Raw genomic sequence first — 15,448 nt, 5'->3', positions numbered from 1 at the left:
GACCGCGTGTCTGCCCTGCTCGGCCTCCCAAAGTGCTGGGATTACAGGCATGAGCCACTGCGCCTGGCCTAACTCAAAACTTTTCATCTCTTCCCTCACTTTTCCTTTTTTCTCCCCACCCTGAAATTAGAATTGTCAACTAGTAACAACAGAAGTTTTCAGAGATTTACATTTTCTGTTTCTCATATCCACTGTTTAATTTGAGAAGTACTAACACACTCCAAAACAGGGAAAGACTAATAGAAGAAGGTAAGACGTTGAAGAATACATAAACTTGTGTTAACTATCCAAAACTACCCAAAACTTACAATAAGGCAAAAATCAGGGCCACATGTCTTTTCAATGTCATACTGGGGCATTATTTAAAAGCTTCCACAAGGGTTAATTTTCTAGAACAATGTAACTGTTTGACTTTGCTATTTACTATTTGATTAGAGCCTAGACATGGTGCAGCTGCATATTAACTTGAAGATTTCTGCACACTAAAAAATATAACTGTGAAGGTTATTTTCATTTCCCTAGAGGACATTAACCGCTTTTTTTTTCCCTTGAGACAGCGACTCACTCCATTGCCCAGAATACAGTGCAGTGGCCGTATGCTGGCTCACTGCAGCCTCCACCTCCCAGACTCAAGTGATCCTCCCGCCTCAGCCTCCCAAGTAGCTGAGATTACAAGTGTGCACCACCATGACTGATAATTTTTGTATTTTTAGTAGAGATGGGGTTTCACTATGTTAGCCAGGCTGGTCTCGAACTCCTAACCTAAAGCGATCCACCCACCTTGGCCTCCCAAAGGATTACAATTGTGAGCCACTGCGTCCAGTCCATTAACCACTATTATATCTAAACTAACAGTCTTATTTTAACATCCCTTTGTGAATGCCTGTAAACATTCTTTGAACTAGCTTTACATCTTACTGGTCTTCTTCACCAATGGGTTAATAAGTCTTAAACATGGATTCATTTTCTATTTATATGAGAATTATGTTTTTTGAATTTTGAAAATTATACTTTGGCACTGATAGCCTGTATGATAAACAGATTAACATCTTTTTAGGGCCAGGTGCAGTGGCTCATGCCTGTAGTCCCAACACTTAGGGCCAGGTGCAGTGGCTCATGCCTATAGTCCCAACACTTTGGGAGTCTGAGGCAGGAGGATCAGGTGAGTCCAGGAGTTCAAGACCAGTGTGGGCAAAAAGTGAGACCTCATCTCTGAAAAAAATACAAAAAAATTAGCTGGATATGATGGTGTGCACCTGTGGTCTCAGCTACTAGGGAGGCTGAGGTGGGAGGATCGCTTGAGCCTGGGAAGTGGAGGCTGCAGGGAACTGAGATTGAGTCATTGCACTCCAGCCTGGGCGACTGAGCAAGACCTTGTCTCAAAAATAAATAAATAACAAATTTAAAAAAATCTATTAGCCTTTTATGGCATGCTTGGATGCTTTTGCGTTTTGTTTTGTTTCGTTTTTTGAGGCAGAGTCTTGCTCTGTCGCCCAGGCTGGAGTGCAGTGGCACAATCTCAGCTCACTGCAACTTCCACCTCCCAGGTTCAAGCAATTCTCTTGCCTCAGCCTCCCGAGTAGCTGGGGCTACAGGCACCCACCACCACGCCCAGCTAATTTTTGTATTTTTAGTAGAGATGGGGTGTCACCATGTTGGCCAGGCTGGTCTCAAACTCCTGAGCTCAAGTAATCCACCTGCCTTGGTCTCCCAAAATGCTGAGATTACAGGCATGAGCCACCACGCCTGGCCTCCCTTTTAGGGTATGCTTTTGATGCATCGGACTAATATATTTTAGATTTTCCACATTTCTACCTATGAGAGGAGCTGATAACAGGAAGCAGGAAAGAGCAGCAAGTTGGAGGCAAAAAAAAGAAGAGGTCAAGTTGAGAAGCCAGACAGAATAAAGAACAATTGCCATGTTACGGGTTACCCGCCTCTGGATCCCAGCTGGCGCAAGCAAGCAAGCTGTGTCACTATCTTCCTGACACTGCGTCTGGACAGGCCCACCCTAGCACTGCCAAGTTAATCAGTGGGGTTCTAGAATTTCTATATAAGAGAGGCTAGGGCTGGGCCTGGTGGCTCATGCCTGTAATCCCAGCACTTTGAGAGGCTGAGGTGGGTGGATCATCTGAGGTCAGGAGTTCGAGACCAGCCTGACCAACATGGTGAAATCCCGTCTCTAGTAAAAATACAAAATTAGCCGGGCATGGTGGCGGGCGCCTGTAATCCCAGCTACTCAGGAGGCTGAGGAAGGAGAATCGCTTGAATCCGGGAGGTGGAGGTTGCAGTGAGCCAAGATCGCGCCACTGCAGTCCAGCCTGGGCAACAGAGTGAAACTCCGTATCAAAAAAAAAAAAAAAAGGCTAGGGGCAGTAATGTAGTTGGAAGGTTGGGGTGTGTGGGTGTATGGGGTGTGTGGGTGTGTGGTGTGTGGGTGCGTGCGTGTGGTGTGTGTGGGTGTGTGGTGTGTGGGGTGTGTGTGGTGTGTGGGTGTGTGGGGTGTGTGGGTGCATGTGGGTGTGTGGGTGTGTGGGTGTGTGGGGTGTGTGGGTATGTGGTGTGTGGGTGGCGGTGTCCAGGGTCTGTGGGTGTGGGTGTGTGTGGGTGTGTGTGTGGTGTGTGTGGTTGTGTGGGGTGTGTGGTGTGTGGGTGTGTGGGTGTGGGGTGTGTGGGTGTGTGGTGTGGTGTGTGGGTATGGGATGTGGTGTGTGGGGTGTCTGGGTGTGTGGGTGTGCAGTGTGCGAGTGTGCAGGTGTGTGGGTGTGTGGTGTGTGTGTTTGGGTGTGTGGGTGTGTAGATGTTTAGGGTGTGTAGTGTGTGGGTGTGTAGTGTTTGGCTGTGCGGTGTGCAGGTGTGCGGGTGTGGGTGTGTGGGTGTGTGAATGTGGGTGTGTGGGTGTGTGTGTGGGGTGTGGGTGTGTGAGTGTGGGCATGCGGGTGTGTGTGGGGTGTGGGTGTATGGGTGTTGGGTGTGGGTGTGTAGTGTGTGGGTGTGCGGGGTGTGGTGTGGGTGTACGGGTGTTGGGTGTGGGTGTGTAGTGTGTGGGTGTGTAGTGGGTGTGGGGTGTGTAGTGTGTGGGGTGTGTAGTGGGTGGGTGTGTAGGTGTGTGGGTGTGTAGTGGGTGTGGGGTGTGTAGTGGGTGGGTGTGTAGGTGTGGGTGTGTAGTGGGTAGGTGTGTAGTGGGTGGGTGTGGGTGTGTAGTGGGTGGGGTGTGTAGTGGGTGGGTGTGTAGTGGGTGGGTGTGTAGTGTGTGGGTGTGTAGTGGGTGGGTGTGGGTGTGTGGGTGTGTAGTGGGTGGGTGTGGGTGTGTGGGTGTGTAGTGGGTGGGTGTGGGTGTGTGGGTGTGTAGTGGGTGGGTGTGGGTGTGTAGTGTGTGGGGTGTGTAGTGTGTGGGTGTGTAGTGGGTGGGTGTGGGTATGTAGGTGTGGGTGTGTAGTGTGTGGGTGTGTAGTGGGTGGGTGTGGGTGTGTAGGTGTGGGTGTGTAGTGTGTGGGTGTGGGTGTGTAATGGGTGGGGTGTGTAGTGTGTGGGTGTGTAGTGGGTGGGTGTGGGTGTGTAGTGTGTGGGTGTGTAGTGGGTGGTAGCTGAGAGAATTATCCTGGACTCAGATGGCAAAGCACATTGTGCATCTTCTTGTCCCTCCCACTGGCTCTGCCATCGTGGGCAGCCATAGTTTGGTATTCAGGAAATGAGGATGTTTATTGCTGCTAAAATTAAAAATTAAAAAACTACTACCATCAGAGGGCAGTATTTGTTTTTTATCAAAAGGTAGCTCTGGCTTGGCACTGGGTATTAGCAATTTTTTCTTTTTCTATTTCTTATCCTTTTTTAAAATTTTATTTTATTTTTATTTATTTATTTATTTTTTGAGATGGTATCTTGCTCTGTTGCCCAGGCTGGAGTGCAGTGGAGCAGTCTCGGCTCACTGCAACCTCCCCCTCCCGGGTTCAAGCGATTCTCCTGCCTCAGCCTCCTGAGTAGTTGGGATTAGAGGAGTGTCAGGCTGGGCTTGAACTCCTGACCACAAGTGAACCGCCCGCCTCGGCCTCCCAGAGTGTTGGGATTACAGGCGTGAGCCACCACGCCTGGCTGCAATTTTTTCTTGTAATTTAAACGTGACTACCTCCACATCTAGAGTGAGCCTTGCTCAGAATTTACACTGTTTTTAAATCATCTTTTAAAAACGCTAGGTTGTCTGTGCCATACATAGACCCATTCTTTAATTATTGATCGAATATGTCTGAAGCACTTCACAGGTGCCAAGCACTGTTCTGGGTAACAGGTATACAGAGAGGAAAAGCCAGGACTTTTCTTTCGTGGAGCTCACATTTCTGTCGGGGAGCAACAGTCAACAAGAAAACGTGTCTTTTTCCAACAAGAAACTATAGGCAAAAAAAAAGAAAAAGAAAAATATCACACGGTCATAAATGCTGTGTAGATAGAGTAGACTGTGTGGGGTTCCTCCTTCACTCAATCCATTCCCTCCCGCAAAACCAAAAAAGGAAGTCAAGGCCGGGCGTGGTGGCTCACGCCTGTAATTCCAGCACTTTGGGAGGCCGAGGCCAGCGGCTCACGAGGTCAGGAGATGGAGACCATCCTGGCTAACACGGTGAAACCCCGTCTCTACTAAAAATACAAAAAATTAACTGGGCATGGTGGAAGTCAAGGAAGAAAAAATATTTCATCCTGATAAAGCCACTGTATCCAAATATCAGGGTCTTACATCCAAGACAACTGCATGAGCAAGCACATTTTATAGCATTATATGCTCAATAAGCTTTATTTTTAAAATCCAGCTTTAACTGTTTTTCATTTTCTTGGTCCATTCCTATGCCTGGCCCCACTTTCTTCAAAAGGTGGATGAGGTGTCACCCTAGGGAGAAGGAACCAGGAGTGAGTTTTTCTTCTGCTCTCGCTCCCGTGGTTCAAGCCTTTCATCCGGTGCTGAGCCTAACTCTTCCCTTAGGACTGCTGGGTGGGGCTTAAATGGCTGTGTGTGTAGAACATCTCCCTGCTCAGTCATCAGCCGAAAAGACCCTCAGAAATCAGGATACATTCATCTTTGTTCCTTTCCCCAGTTTTCTCATTTGTAAAATGGGACGTTAATACCTGTTTCCACTGGGCCAGCGTAAGGAGGAAGTTAGATACCATATGCATAGTACAGCATCTGTCATGGAGTAAGTGTTCAATATGTGAAAGTTTTTTTAAAAAGTCTTTTGCCAGCCGGGCGTGGTGGCTCATGCCTATAATCCCAGCACTATGGGAGGCCGAGGTGGGTGGATCACTAGGTCAGGAGATGGAGACCATCCTGGCCAACATGGTGGAACCCCGTCTCTACTAAAAATACAAAATTAGCCAGGCGTGGTGGTGCACGCCTGCAATCCTGGATACTCGGGAGGCTGAGGCAGGAGAATTGCTTGAACCCAGGAGGCGGAGGTTGCAGTGAGCTGAGACTGCACCACTGCACTCCAGCCTGGGCAACAAGAGCAAAACTCCATCTCAAAAAAAAAAAAAGAAAAGGAAAAGATCTGTATTTTATAATATTTTGAGTGACTGGACTAACACCTACAGGACAAGATATTATGGAGACACAAGTAAAGTCCATGACTTGCATTAAGAAATGCCAACTGCAAGAGCACAGGACAGGAAACAGTTAACCTAAAAACAACGTGAAACAGACAGAGGGCATCCAATTGGCAGCAGTCGCAGTATGAACACTCTGTGGACTGGCTGCCCAGAAAGCTAATGTAAGCCTACGCTACATTAATTGAGGGTTAGTGCTCAGATGGGGGAAAGGTCCTGATCAGATCCTGTCTGGAGCCATGTTTTCTTCCAGGAGCCTCATTTTAAAAGATGTTGACAAACTGGAGTGTGTCCCACAGAGAGTGACCATGTCACATGAGAATCCTTTGCAAGAAGTGATGAGATTTTTGCCTGGAAAAGGCAAAAGTTAAAAGATTGCTCTTAAAGCTCTTTAGTTCTTTACAGATCTTTCACGTAGAAGAATATATTACTACTTCTAGAGGGAAAAACTAGGCACAGTGATTGGAAATTTAGGGAGCAGCTCTCACCTCAAGAAAAGACAGAACTTTCTGGCCAGGCGCGGTGGCTCACGCCTGTAATCTCAGCACTTTGGGAGGCCAAGGAGGGTGGATCACTTGAGGTCAGGAGTTCGAGACTAGCCTGGCCAACATGGTGAAACCCCGTCTCTACTAAAAATCCAAAAATTAGCTGGGCGTGGTTGTGTGCACCTGTAATTCCAGTTACTCGGGAGGCTGAGGCAGGAGAATCACTTGAACCCAGGAGACAGAGGTTGCAGCAAGCCCAGATCACGCCATTGCACACTCTAGCCTGGGGGAAAAGCATAAAACTCCGCCTCAGAAAAAAAAAAAAAAAGAAGAAGAAGAAAAAAGAAAAGACAGAACTCTCTGAAGATCAAAACCGCCAGCAACGGGAAGGGTGACTTTGTGAAGCAGTGACCCCGCTGTCCCTACAGCAGCCCAGCAAGGCACCAGAGAGGTTAACCATTGGCGTTTTTCAAGCTGCCTTCTGTGGAGCAGCATCCTGGGGAGCTAGGGTTGGGGTCGGGTGTAAAAGTGGTCATTGTTCTGAGTGATAAAAAGAATAAGGAGGTGGGAACTGGACTCCTAATTTATCCACAGCAGCTCAATTCTTACATGTTGAAGTTTTTCCCATTTCAGAGTTCTACTTGAGATCTTCATTAAGGGTTCTGCTATGAAAATCAAACCTGCAAACCACCAGAGATGATGGCTTTCTTCGCTATCTCTTTTCTTTTTTGAGATGGAGTCTCGCTCTGTCACCCAGGCTGGAGTGCAATGGCGTGATCTTGGCTTACTGCATCCTCTGCCTCCCGGGTTCAAGCGATTCTCCTGCCTCAGCCTCCCGAGTAGCTGGGATTACAGGTGTGCGCCACCAAGTCTGGCTAATTTTTGTATTTTTAGAAGAGACAGAGTCTCACCACCTTGGCCAGGCTGGTCTTGAACTCCTGACCTCAGGTGATCTGCCCACCTCGGCCTCCCGAAGTGCTGGGATTACAGGTGTGAGCCACCGTGCCCGGCCTCTCCACCGTCTCTGGTGGACACAACACCCCGTCTCTTAGGTGCCTGATTCTCAGACAGGACTCAGGAGCAGAGACCAGATAAATCTCAGATTTGTCTGAGCTTATTTACTTCTGGAGTTTTCTAAATAGCTCTCTCTCTTCCCTGGGGTGGGTTGCTTTTTTTTTTTTTAAGGCAGTTTTTTCAATCTTTTGGGTAGTAGCTCTTGAGTCTGTAAAGCCTGGTAATTTTCTAGAGGTAATTGGCATTAACCATCAAGACTCTCCTCACATGCTCCCTTCCCACTCTGGCACCCTCCTCCCACAGGCCTTCCTCCCGTCCTGCTGCCTCCATCAGTCTCTTCCTCTGGCAGCCAAGGGTTGCCTCTCCAAGTGGTCCCAGGAGAGAAATCCTAGGGCCACGTATCAGTCAGAACACTAGTCCTGGACACCTGTGTTTCTCCTGCCCGCAGGCAGACCCTTCGGGAGACACTTGACCAGCGCAGGCCCTTGGGGGGCAGCTCGCCAGGTAGGACCCCTCCCTGCCAGCTGGGGTTTCCCAGCTCCCCACGCTTGAGTTCTCCTACCTAGAATCTTCTTAGGACTACTTTTAACAGCTGCAGTCCTCTCTGCTTGCTTTACGCCTCCCGAGACTCGTTGTTGCAAAAGTCTTTCTGTGCTAGAGACCCAAACTTTGAATCTCTACTCAAGCTAGTGGTTCTTAGACTTCAGCATGCACCAGACTCATCTGTGGGACTCACGATAGCGCAGATTGCTGCGTTCCACCCCCAGAATTTCTGATTCAGTAAGTCTGGGGTGGAGCCTAAGAATTTGCATTTATTTTCCTTTTTCTTTTTTTAATTTGTTTGAGATAGAGTCTCGCTCTTGTCACCCAGCCTGGAGTGCAGTGGCGCAATCTCAGCTCACTGCAACTCCCACCTCCCAGGTTTAAGCAATTATCCTGTCTCAGCCTCCTGAGTAGCTGGGATTACAGACGTGTGCCACCACGCCTGGCTAATTTTTATATTTTTAGTAGGGACAGGGTTTTGCCGTGTTGGCCAGGCTGGTCTTGAACTCCTGACCTCAGGTGATCCGCCTGCCTTGGCCTCCCAAAGTGCTGGGATTACAGGTGTGAGCCACTGCGCCTGGCCAAGAAATTGCATTTCTAACAAGCCCCCAGACCACACTTTGAGAAGCGCTGTGCGAGGCTTTTGCTTTCCTTCACTGTTGCTGTGGGTATTGGTGTTCCAACCCACAATTCCCTTTTGCTCATACTAGCTTCAGTATATTCCAGTGTCTCTCTGCTTATAGGCTTTTTGTAATAATCTTATTTCTATGGAATTCTGATATACTATGGCCTTTTTTTTTTTTTTTTTGAGACGGAGTCTTGCTCTGTCGCCCAGGCTGGAGTGCAGTGGCACGATCTCTGCTCACTGCAAGCCCCGCCTCCCAGGTTCACGCCATTCTCCTGCCTCAGCCTCCCGAGTAGCTGGGACTACAGGCGCCCGCCACCACGCCCGGCTAATTTCTTGTATTTTTAGTAGAGACGGGGTTTCACCATGTTAGCCAGGATGGTCTCGATCTCCTGACCTCGTGATCCGCCCGCCTTGGCCTCCCAATATACTGTGGCCTTCTATTTTAACTATCCTACGACCACTGGCTCTGTGGGCCAGGGTTTCACCCTCACACAGGTGCTATGCACTTAGAAGGCATTCTTTTTTTTTTTTTTTTTTTTTTTTTCAGATGGAGTTTCGCTCTTGTTGCCCAGGCTGGAGTGCAGTGGCGCCATCTCAGCTCACCACAACCTCCGCCTCCGCCTCCCGGGTTCAAGTGATTCTCCTGCCTCAGCCTCCTGAGTAGCTAGGATTATAGGCACACACCACCACACCCAGCTAATTTTGTATTTTAGTAGAGACAGGGTTTCTCCATGTTGGTCAGGCTGGTCTCGAACTCCCGACCTCAGGTGATCTGCCCGCCTCGGCCTCCCAAAGTGCTGGGATTACAGGCATGAGCCACCGTGCCTGGCCTAGAAGGCATTCTTGCTGAAGAAATTCGGCGGAGGGAAGGATTCATGCAGGCTGGAGCAACAGGGAAAGCTTCACAAAAGGAGTTGGAGTTGAGTGTGTCCTCAAAGGGAGATTTGTCTGTGTAGAAGGGAGAGGAACGAGCATTCCTGACAATGGCTCCTGGACATAGGAGCATTTGTTGGGATGACACGGAGGAACAGACTCTCACTGGAACACACATCTCTTCAATGAGGTGGTGAAATACATCATGGGAAGGAGCCTGTCTGTACCAGAACTCTTACAACCTATTAAGTGCAATTAGCCTCGCTGTAGCCAAAGGGATGTTGATTTTGCTCAGCAGATTGTTATTCAGGATCCCCAGGGACAGTGGTGCTGTGTGGGCAAAGCAGCGTGGGCAGCAGCAGCGTGGGAATGGGTGTGTTCACTCCCGAAGCCCAGGACAGATAACTCCACTTCTTGTTTCTGTAGAAAGAAGTGTGGCAAGAGCTGACCCGAGGAAGAAGCTTTGCTCAATAGGAAATGAGCTATGATGATGAAATGAGGAAGCCCTGCTGGGCTTCAGCTTGATGGTTCTGAATTATAAAGAGAAAAGAATGTGCAAAAAGCGAATATGATCGTGGAAAACTGGAAACACTCCAAATATCGAAAACTGGAAACACTCCAAATATCCATCAATAAGACATTGGTTAAGTGAATTGCGCAGTGTCCATGCTGCGGCATACTATGAAACCCTTAGGCAGAAGAAGGTAGCACTGGGCATAGTGACCTGGAAATAACTCCTAGCTACATGGTTAAGTGAGGAAAACAAGTTGCCAAATAGTATATTATAATTCTTTGATTTAAAAAATATATCAGTAAAAACTCTTGAATGAGGCCAGGTGCAGTGGCTCACACCTGTGATCCCAGGACTTTGGGAGGCCGAGGCGGGCGGATCACCTGAGGGCAGGAGTTTGAGACCAGCCTAACCAACATGTAGAAACCCCATCTCTACTAAAAATACAAAATTTAGCCGGGCGTGGTGGCGCATGCCTTTAATCCCAGCTACTCGGGAGGCTGAGGCAGGAGAATCGCTTGAGCCTGGGAGGCAGAGGTTGCAGTGAGCCGAGATCACACCATTGCACTCCAGCCTGGGCAACAAGAGCAAAACTCAGTCTCAAAACAAAAACAAAAACAAAACAAAACTCTTGAATGATGTGTGCAAAGTGACTGTTAACAGTTTGCCTGTGGAAAGAGGAGTGGGGTTAAAGTGGGAGATAGAGAGCTTAAGTGACTTTTCATTTTTTATTTTTAAAATTAAATTTCTGAATGGTTTAAATTTTTTCAAACATGCAATTGAAATAAATTCCAGCTAATGTGTACTCAGTGCCAGACACTGCTCTAGGTGTTTTAGGCCTATTATTTAATCCTCCCAACAAACCTCTGGAGATAGGTATTATTAATCTCCCCCATTTTGCAAATTAGAAAACTGAGGGCCGGAGCAGTGAAGCAGCCTGTCCAAGGTCACACACTAATAAGTGGGAGAGTTGAAATTTGAACCCACGTCATGTGGCTCCAGCATCTATGGACTGACCCTCTCACTGCAAGGCCCTCGATGGACCATGTTGGTCCATGGGATGGTAACTGTAACTGTAATAAGATTCCAGTAAAAACCGCACAAAAACTATGTGCATAGAAAAAGCAATGGGAGTCTCTATAGTTGTCCCTTTAAAACATGGATCCAAAGATTCACTCTGAATTCCAGCTCAGACAGGCTAATTCAGGCATGAAATATAGTGATTTCAGAACACAAGGAAAGCCTCACTTCTCCCTCCTACCCCAAACTGTTGGTTAACATTTCTTGAACAAGGACTAACTTTTTACCACCCAAATAGCGATCAAGCTTAATATGTGAATATTTCTGGACAAGGCGTAACTATCTCAAATTTAATTGTGTATATCTCTGATTTAATATTATCAAGGTGTAAATAGCAATCACATACAAAAAGCAGGTTGTGATAAGAGATGGGGAAAAGGCAGGAAGGAGGGACTCAGAGCATGATAGGGTACATATGGGGAAGGCAGACGGCAGCAGACTATCATATACTAGTTATCAATGATACTTCTTTACAGTGATAGAAGCCTTCCCTTTCCTAAGAACTTCCTATGTATTTACACATTTGATCTTGACAACTTATGAACTAGAGAAGACAGATTTCTTCATTTTATTGATAGGGAAAACCAGGCTCCAGGAGGCTGTGACTTGGTAAATTACCAAGTTGGAACCGGAACCCAAAACTCCTGATTCTCCCTCGAGGATTCTTGAATTACACCCAGACACTTCAGCCACATCACAACTTCACCCAGCATTAGGTCTGAGTCAGCATCAGTGTAAGAAAATGTAGCAGACAAAAGCTCCAGAGGTTAAAGGGAGCAATAGGACCCTGGCCAGGACCCACTAAAGGACATCCAGGTGGAAGGACAGAGGAAGAGCCCAGGTCAACATAGGGGATGCCAAGGTCACAGGCTGGGGGAATGGCCCCAGTGCTGACACCAAGCAGCTAGGAAACAGGGCAGAAGTTTTGATTGTGGCATCTATATGCCAGGACTTTGCTCCCACCACTTCTCCCATGCTGCCCCCATTTCTAGAATCTTCCTCCTATTTCTTTCCCTTCATTCTTTGCTTTCCTCTCCCACTCTAGCTCCAAACTCGCATTTGCAGTTGTATAAAGGGGGGAAATACATGAATTTTTAGAAATAAAATTTGTCTTACCAATGGGATTGGAATTGTAATCCCATTCTCTTAAACTCATTTTAAACCCCTACTAAATCTTTGAACCTTTTCTACTTTATCACATGGTTAGAATGGGTGAAGTTCCATTACTCAATTCTTTCATCACTTAATTAAATCCAATTAATCTATTGACTGCTTTGCTCAATCTTTTTTTTTTTTTTTTCCAGACAGAGTCTTGATCTGTCGTCCAGGCTGGAGTGCAGTGGCACAATCTCGGCTCACTGCAACCTCTGCCTCCCGGGTTCAAGCGATTCTCCTGCCTCAGCCTCCCGAGTAGCTGGGATTACAGGCATGTGCCACCACACCCGGCTAAATTTTTTGTACTTTTAATAGAGATGGGTTTCACCATGTTGGCCAGGCTGGTTTCTAACTCCTGACCTCAGGTGATCCGCCTGCCTCGGCCTCCCAAAGTGCTGGGATTACAGGCCTGAGCCACCGCGCCTGGCCAATCTGTTTAATCTTGAATTCTCTTCATATTCTTTCTATGACTAGTGCTACAGCGGTGCTGGATGTTTAAGTGATCTTCAGCTGAATTCCGCATCTCCCATGGCTTTGACTCTGTAGTCACCTCCCCTAAAAGTCATGCTGATGACCTGAAGACATGGACACGCTCCACAATCCATGCGATATAGAGGAGAAGGAAAATAAGAATGAAAACAAATACTAAACACTATCATTCCTCTAGGGTAGGGGTGTCCAATCTTTTTTCTCCCCACATTAAAAGAAGAATTGTCTTGGGCCATACATTAAAAAATACACTAACACTAATGATAGCTGATGAACTAAAAAAAAAAAAAGTCACAAAAAAAAGCTTATCAATTTGTGTTGGGCTGCATTCAAAGCCACCTGGGCCACATGCAGCCCGCGGGCAGCAGGTGGGACAAGCTTGCTCTAGGGTAAGTGGATGACTCCTGGAACTTCCTGCAATGTGTGGTTGGACCACTGATAGTCGTGGGCGGGAGAAAGCACTGAGGAGGCAAGACAATGAGCGATTCGAACGCGGCTGTGCATGACAAGGAAGACACTGCGTGGTTTTTGTTTTACACTTTGCACATTTTATTTTTAGCCTCGCCACTGCCCACATGGTTCTAAAAATTACCACCAGGGGGCAGAAGGGTGCCAATGTCCATTGTCTCTGCTACGTTTGGGTTTTCCTTTCCGAATTTCCTCACAGAAGAATTTCTGATCCTATTATACAGATTAAGAAACCAAGGAGCAGAGTGAAGTAAGTGGTAGGCAATCCAGCATTTTGTGAGTGGCAGTGGCAGGAGTTAAACACTGGTTTGGGTAAATACAAGGACTAGGCACTTTCAGAGCTCACCTGAGTTTAAAAACATTTTACAATCCTCTTTGATTAAATGCAATACATTAAGAAAACTTCAAACAGGCCAGGCGCGGTGGCTCACGCCTGTGATCACAACACTTTGGAAGGCCGAGGCAGGCGGATCACCTGAGGTCAGGAGTTCGAGACCAACCTGGCCACCGTGGTGAAACCCCATCTCTACTAAAAATACAAAAATACGGGCATTGTGGTGAACACCTGTAATCCCAGCCACTCAGGAGGCTGAGGCAGGAGAATCGCTTGAACCCGGGAGATGGAGGTTGCAGTGAGCCGAGATCGCACCACTGCACTCCAGCCTGGGTGACAGAGCAAGACTCCGTCTCAAACAAAAACAAAACACTTCAAACAATGTTACTGTAACTCCTTCTATTTTCCTGTTTTGTGTTTCACTTATCACCAGTTTTTGTCACTCATAGTCTTTTCAGCTCTGTGTCCATTGTAAAAGAGGGGGACTTGCCCCTTTCGACTAATATCGACTTTATGTCCCTCCATTAAGAAAACCTTGGCCAGGCGCGGTGGCTCAAGCCTGTAATCCCAGCACTTTGGGAGGCCGAGACGGGTGGATCATGAGGTCAGGAGATCGAGACCAGCCTGGCCAACATGGTGAAACCCCATCTCTACTGAAAATACAAAAAATTAGCCGGGTGTGGTGGCGGGTGCCTGTAGTCCCAGCTACTGGGGAGGCTGAGGCAGGAGAATCACTTGAACCCGGGAGGCGGAGTGTTGCAGGAAGTCACCAGCTGAAGCCATGACAGAAGAACGTGGATTGTGAAGATTTTATGGACATTTATTAGTTCCCCAAATTAATACTTTTGTAATTTCTTATGCCTATCTTTACTGCAATCTCTAAACATAAATTGTGAAGATTTCATGGACACTTATCACTTCCCCAATCAATACCCTTGTGATTTCCTATGCCTGTCTTTACTTTAATCTCTTAATCCTGTCAGCTGAGGAGGATGTATGTCACCTCAGGACCCTGTAATAATTGCATTAACTGCACAAATTGTACAGCATGTGTGTTTGAGCAATATGAAATGTGGGCACCTTGAAAAAAGAACAGGATAACAGCAATTGTTCAGGGAACAAGAGAGATAACCTTAAACTCTGACCACATGTGAGCAGGGCAGAACACAGCCATATTTCTCTTCTTTCAAAAGCAAATGGCAGAAATATCGCTGAATTCTTTTTCTCAGCATGGGACATCCCTGAGAAAGAGAATGCACCCCTGAGGGTGGGTCTATAAATGGCCCCCTTCGGTGTGGCCCCCTTAGGTGTGGCCATCTTCTATGGTCGAGACTGTAGGGATGAAATAAACTCCAGTCTCCCATAGCGCTCTCAGGCTTATTAGGAAGAGGAAATTCCCGCCTAATAAATTTTGGTCAGACCAGTTGATCTCAAAAGCCTGTCTCCTGATAAGATGTTATCAATGACAATGGTGCCCGAAACTTCATTAGCAATTTTAATTTCACTTTGGTCCTGTGGTCCTGTGATCTCGCCCTTCCTCCACTTGCCTTGTGATATTCTATTACCCTGTTAAATACTTGATGTCTGTGACCCACACCTATTCGCACACTCCCTCCCCTTTTGAAAATCCCTAATAAAAACTTGCTGGTTTTTGTGGCTTGTGGGGCATCACGGAACCTACCGACATGTGATGTCTTCCCCAGATGCCCGGCTTTAAAATTTCTCTCTTTTGTACTCTGTCCCTTTATTTCTCAAGCCGGCGGACGCTTAGGGAAACGAGAAAAGAACGTACGTGATTATCGGGGCAGGTCCCCTGGTAGCAGAGGTTGCAGTGAGCCGAGATCGTGCCACTGCACTGCAGCCTGGGTGACAGAGGGAGACTCTGTCTCAAAAAAAAAAAAAAAAAGAAAAAGAAAAGAAAAGAAAACCTTTCTGGGCTGGGCACAGTGGCTCATGCCTGTAATCTCAGCACTTCGGGAAGCCGAGGCGGGCAGATCACCCAAGGTCGGGAGTTCGAGACCGGCCTGACCAACATGGAGAAACCCTGTCTCTACTGAAAATACAAAAAAAATTAGCCAGGAGTGGTGGTGTGCACCTGTAATCCCAGCTACTCGGGAGGCTGAGGCAGGAGAATCGCTTGAACCTGGAAGGTGGAGGTTGCAGTGAGCCGAGATCATGCCATTGCACTCCAGCCTGGACAACAGAGCAAGACTCTGTTTCAAAAAAAAATAGTCTTGGCCCTTTGAGTTTGACAAGAGGCTAGCTGGATCCTCACTGGAGAC

General features: G+C 47.3%; 1 annotated feature.

Annotated features, from left to right (window-relative positions):
* Positions 14,487 to 14,988: an enhancer, noted in NCBI's record as "NANOG hESC enhancer chr3:196409910-196410411 (GRCh37/hg19 assembly coordinates)". NCBI's record gives its function as "activates a minimal SCP1, AML or CMV promoter by ChIP-STARR-seq in naive H9 embryonic stem cells {active_cell/tissue: H9 hESC(naive)}" and the evidence as "EXISTENCE:reporter gene assay evidence [ECO:0000049][PMID:30033119]".

This window comes from Homo sapiens, chromosome 3 (genome assembly GCF_000001405.40).
Source record: "Homo sapiens chromosome 3, GRCh38.p14 Primary Assembly".
NCBI classification, from domain to species: Eukaryota; Metazoa; Chordata; class Mammalia; order Primates; family Hominidae; genus Homo; species Homo sapiens.
Note: the sequence above shows the minus strand (reverse complement) of the source record. Positions and strands in the feature narration are given on the sequence as shown.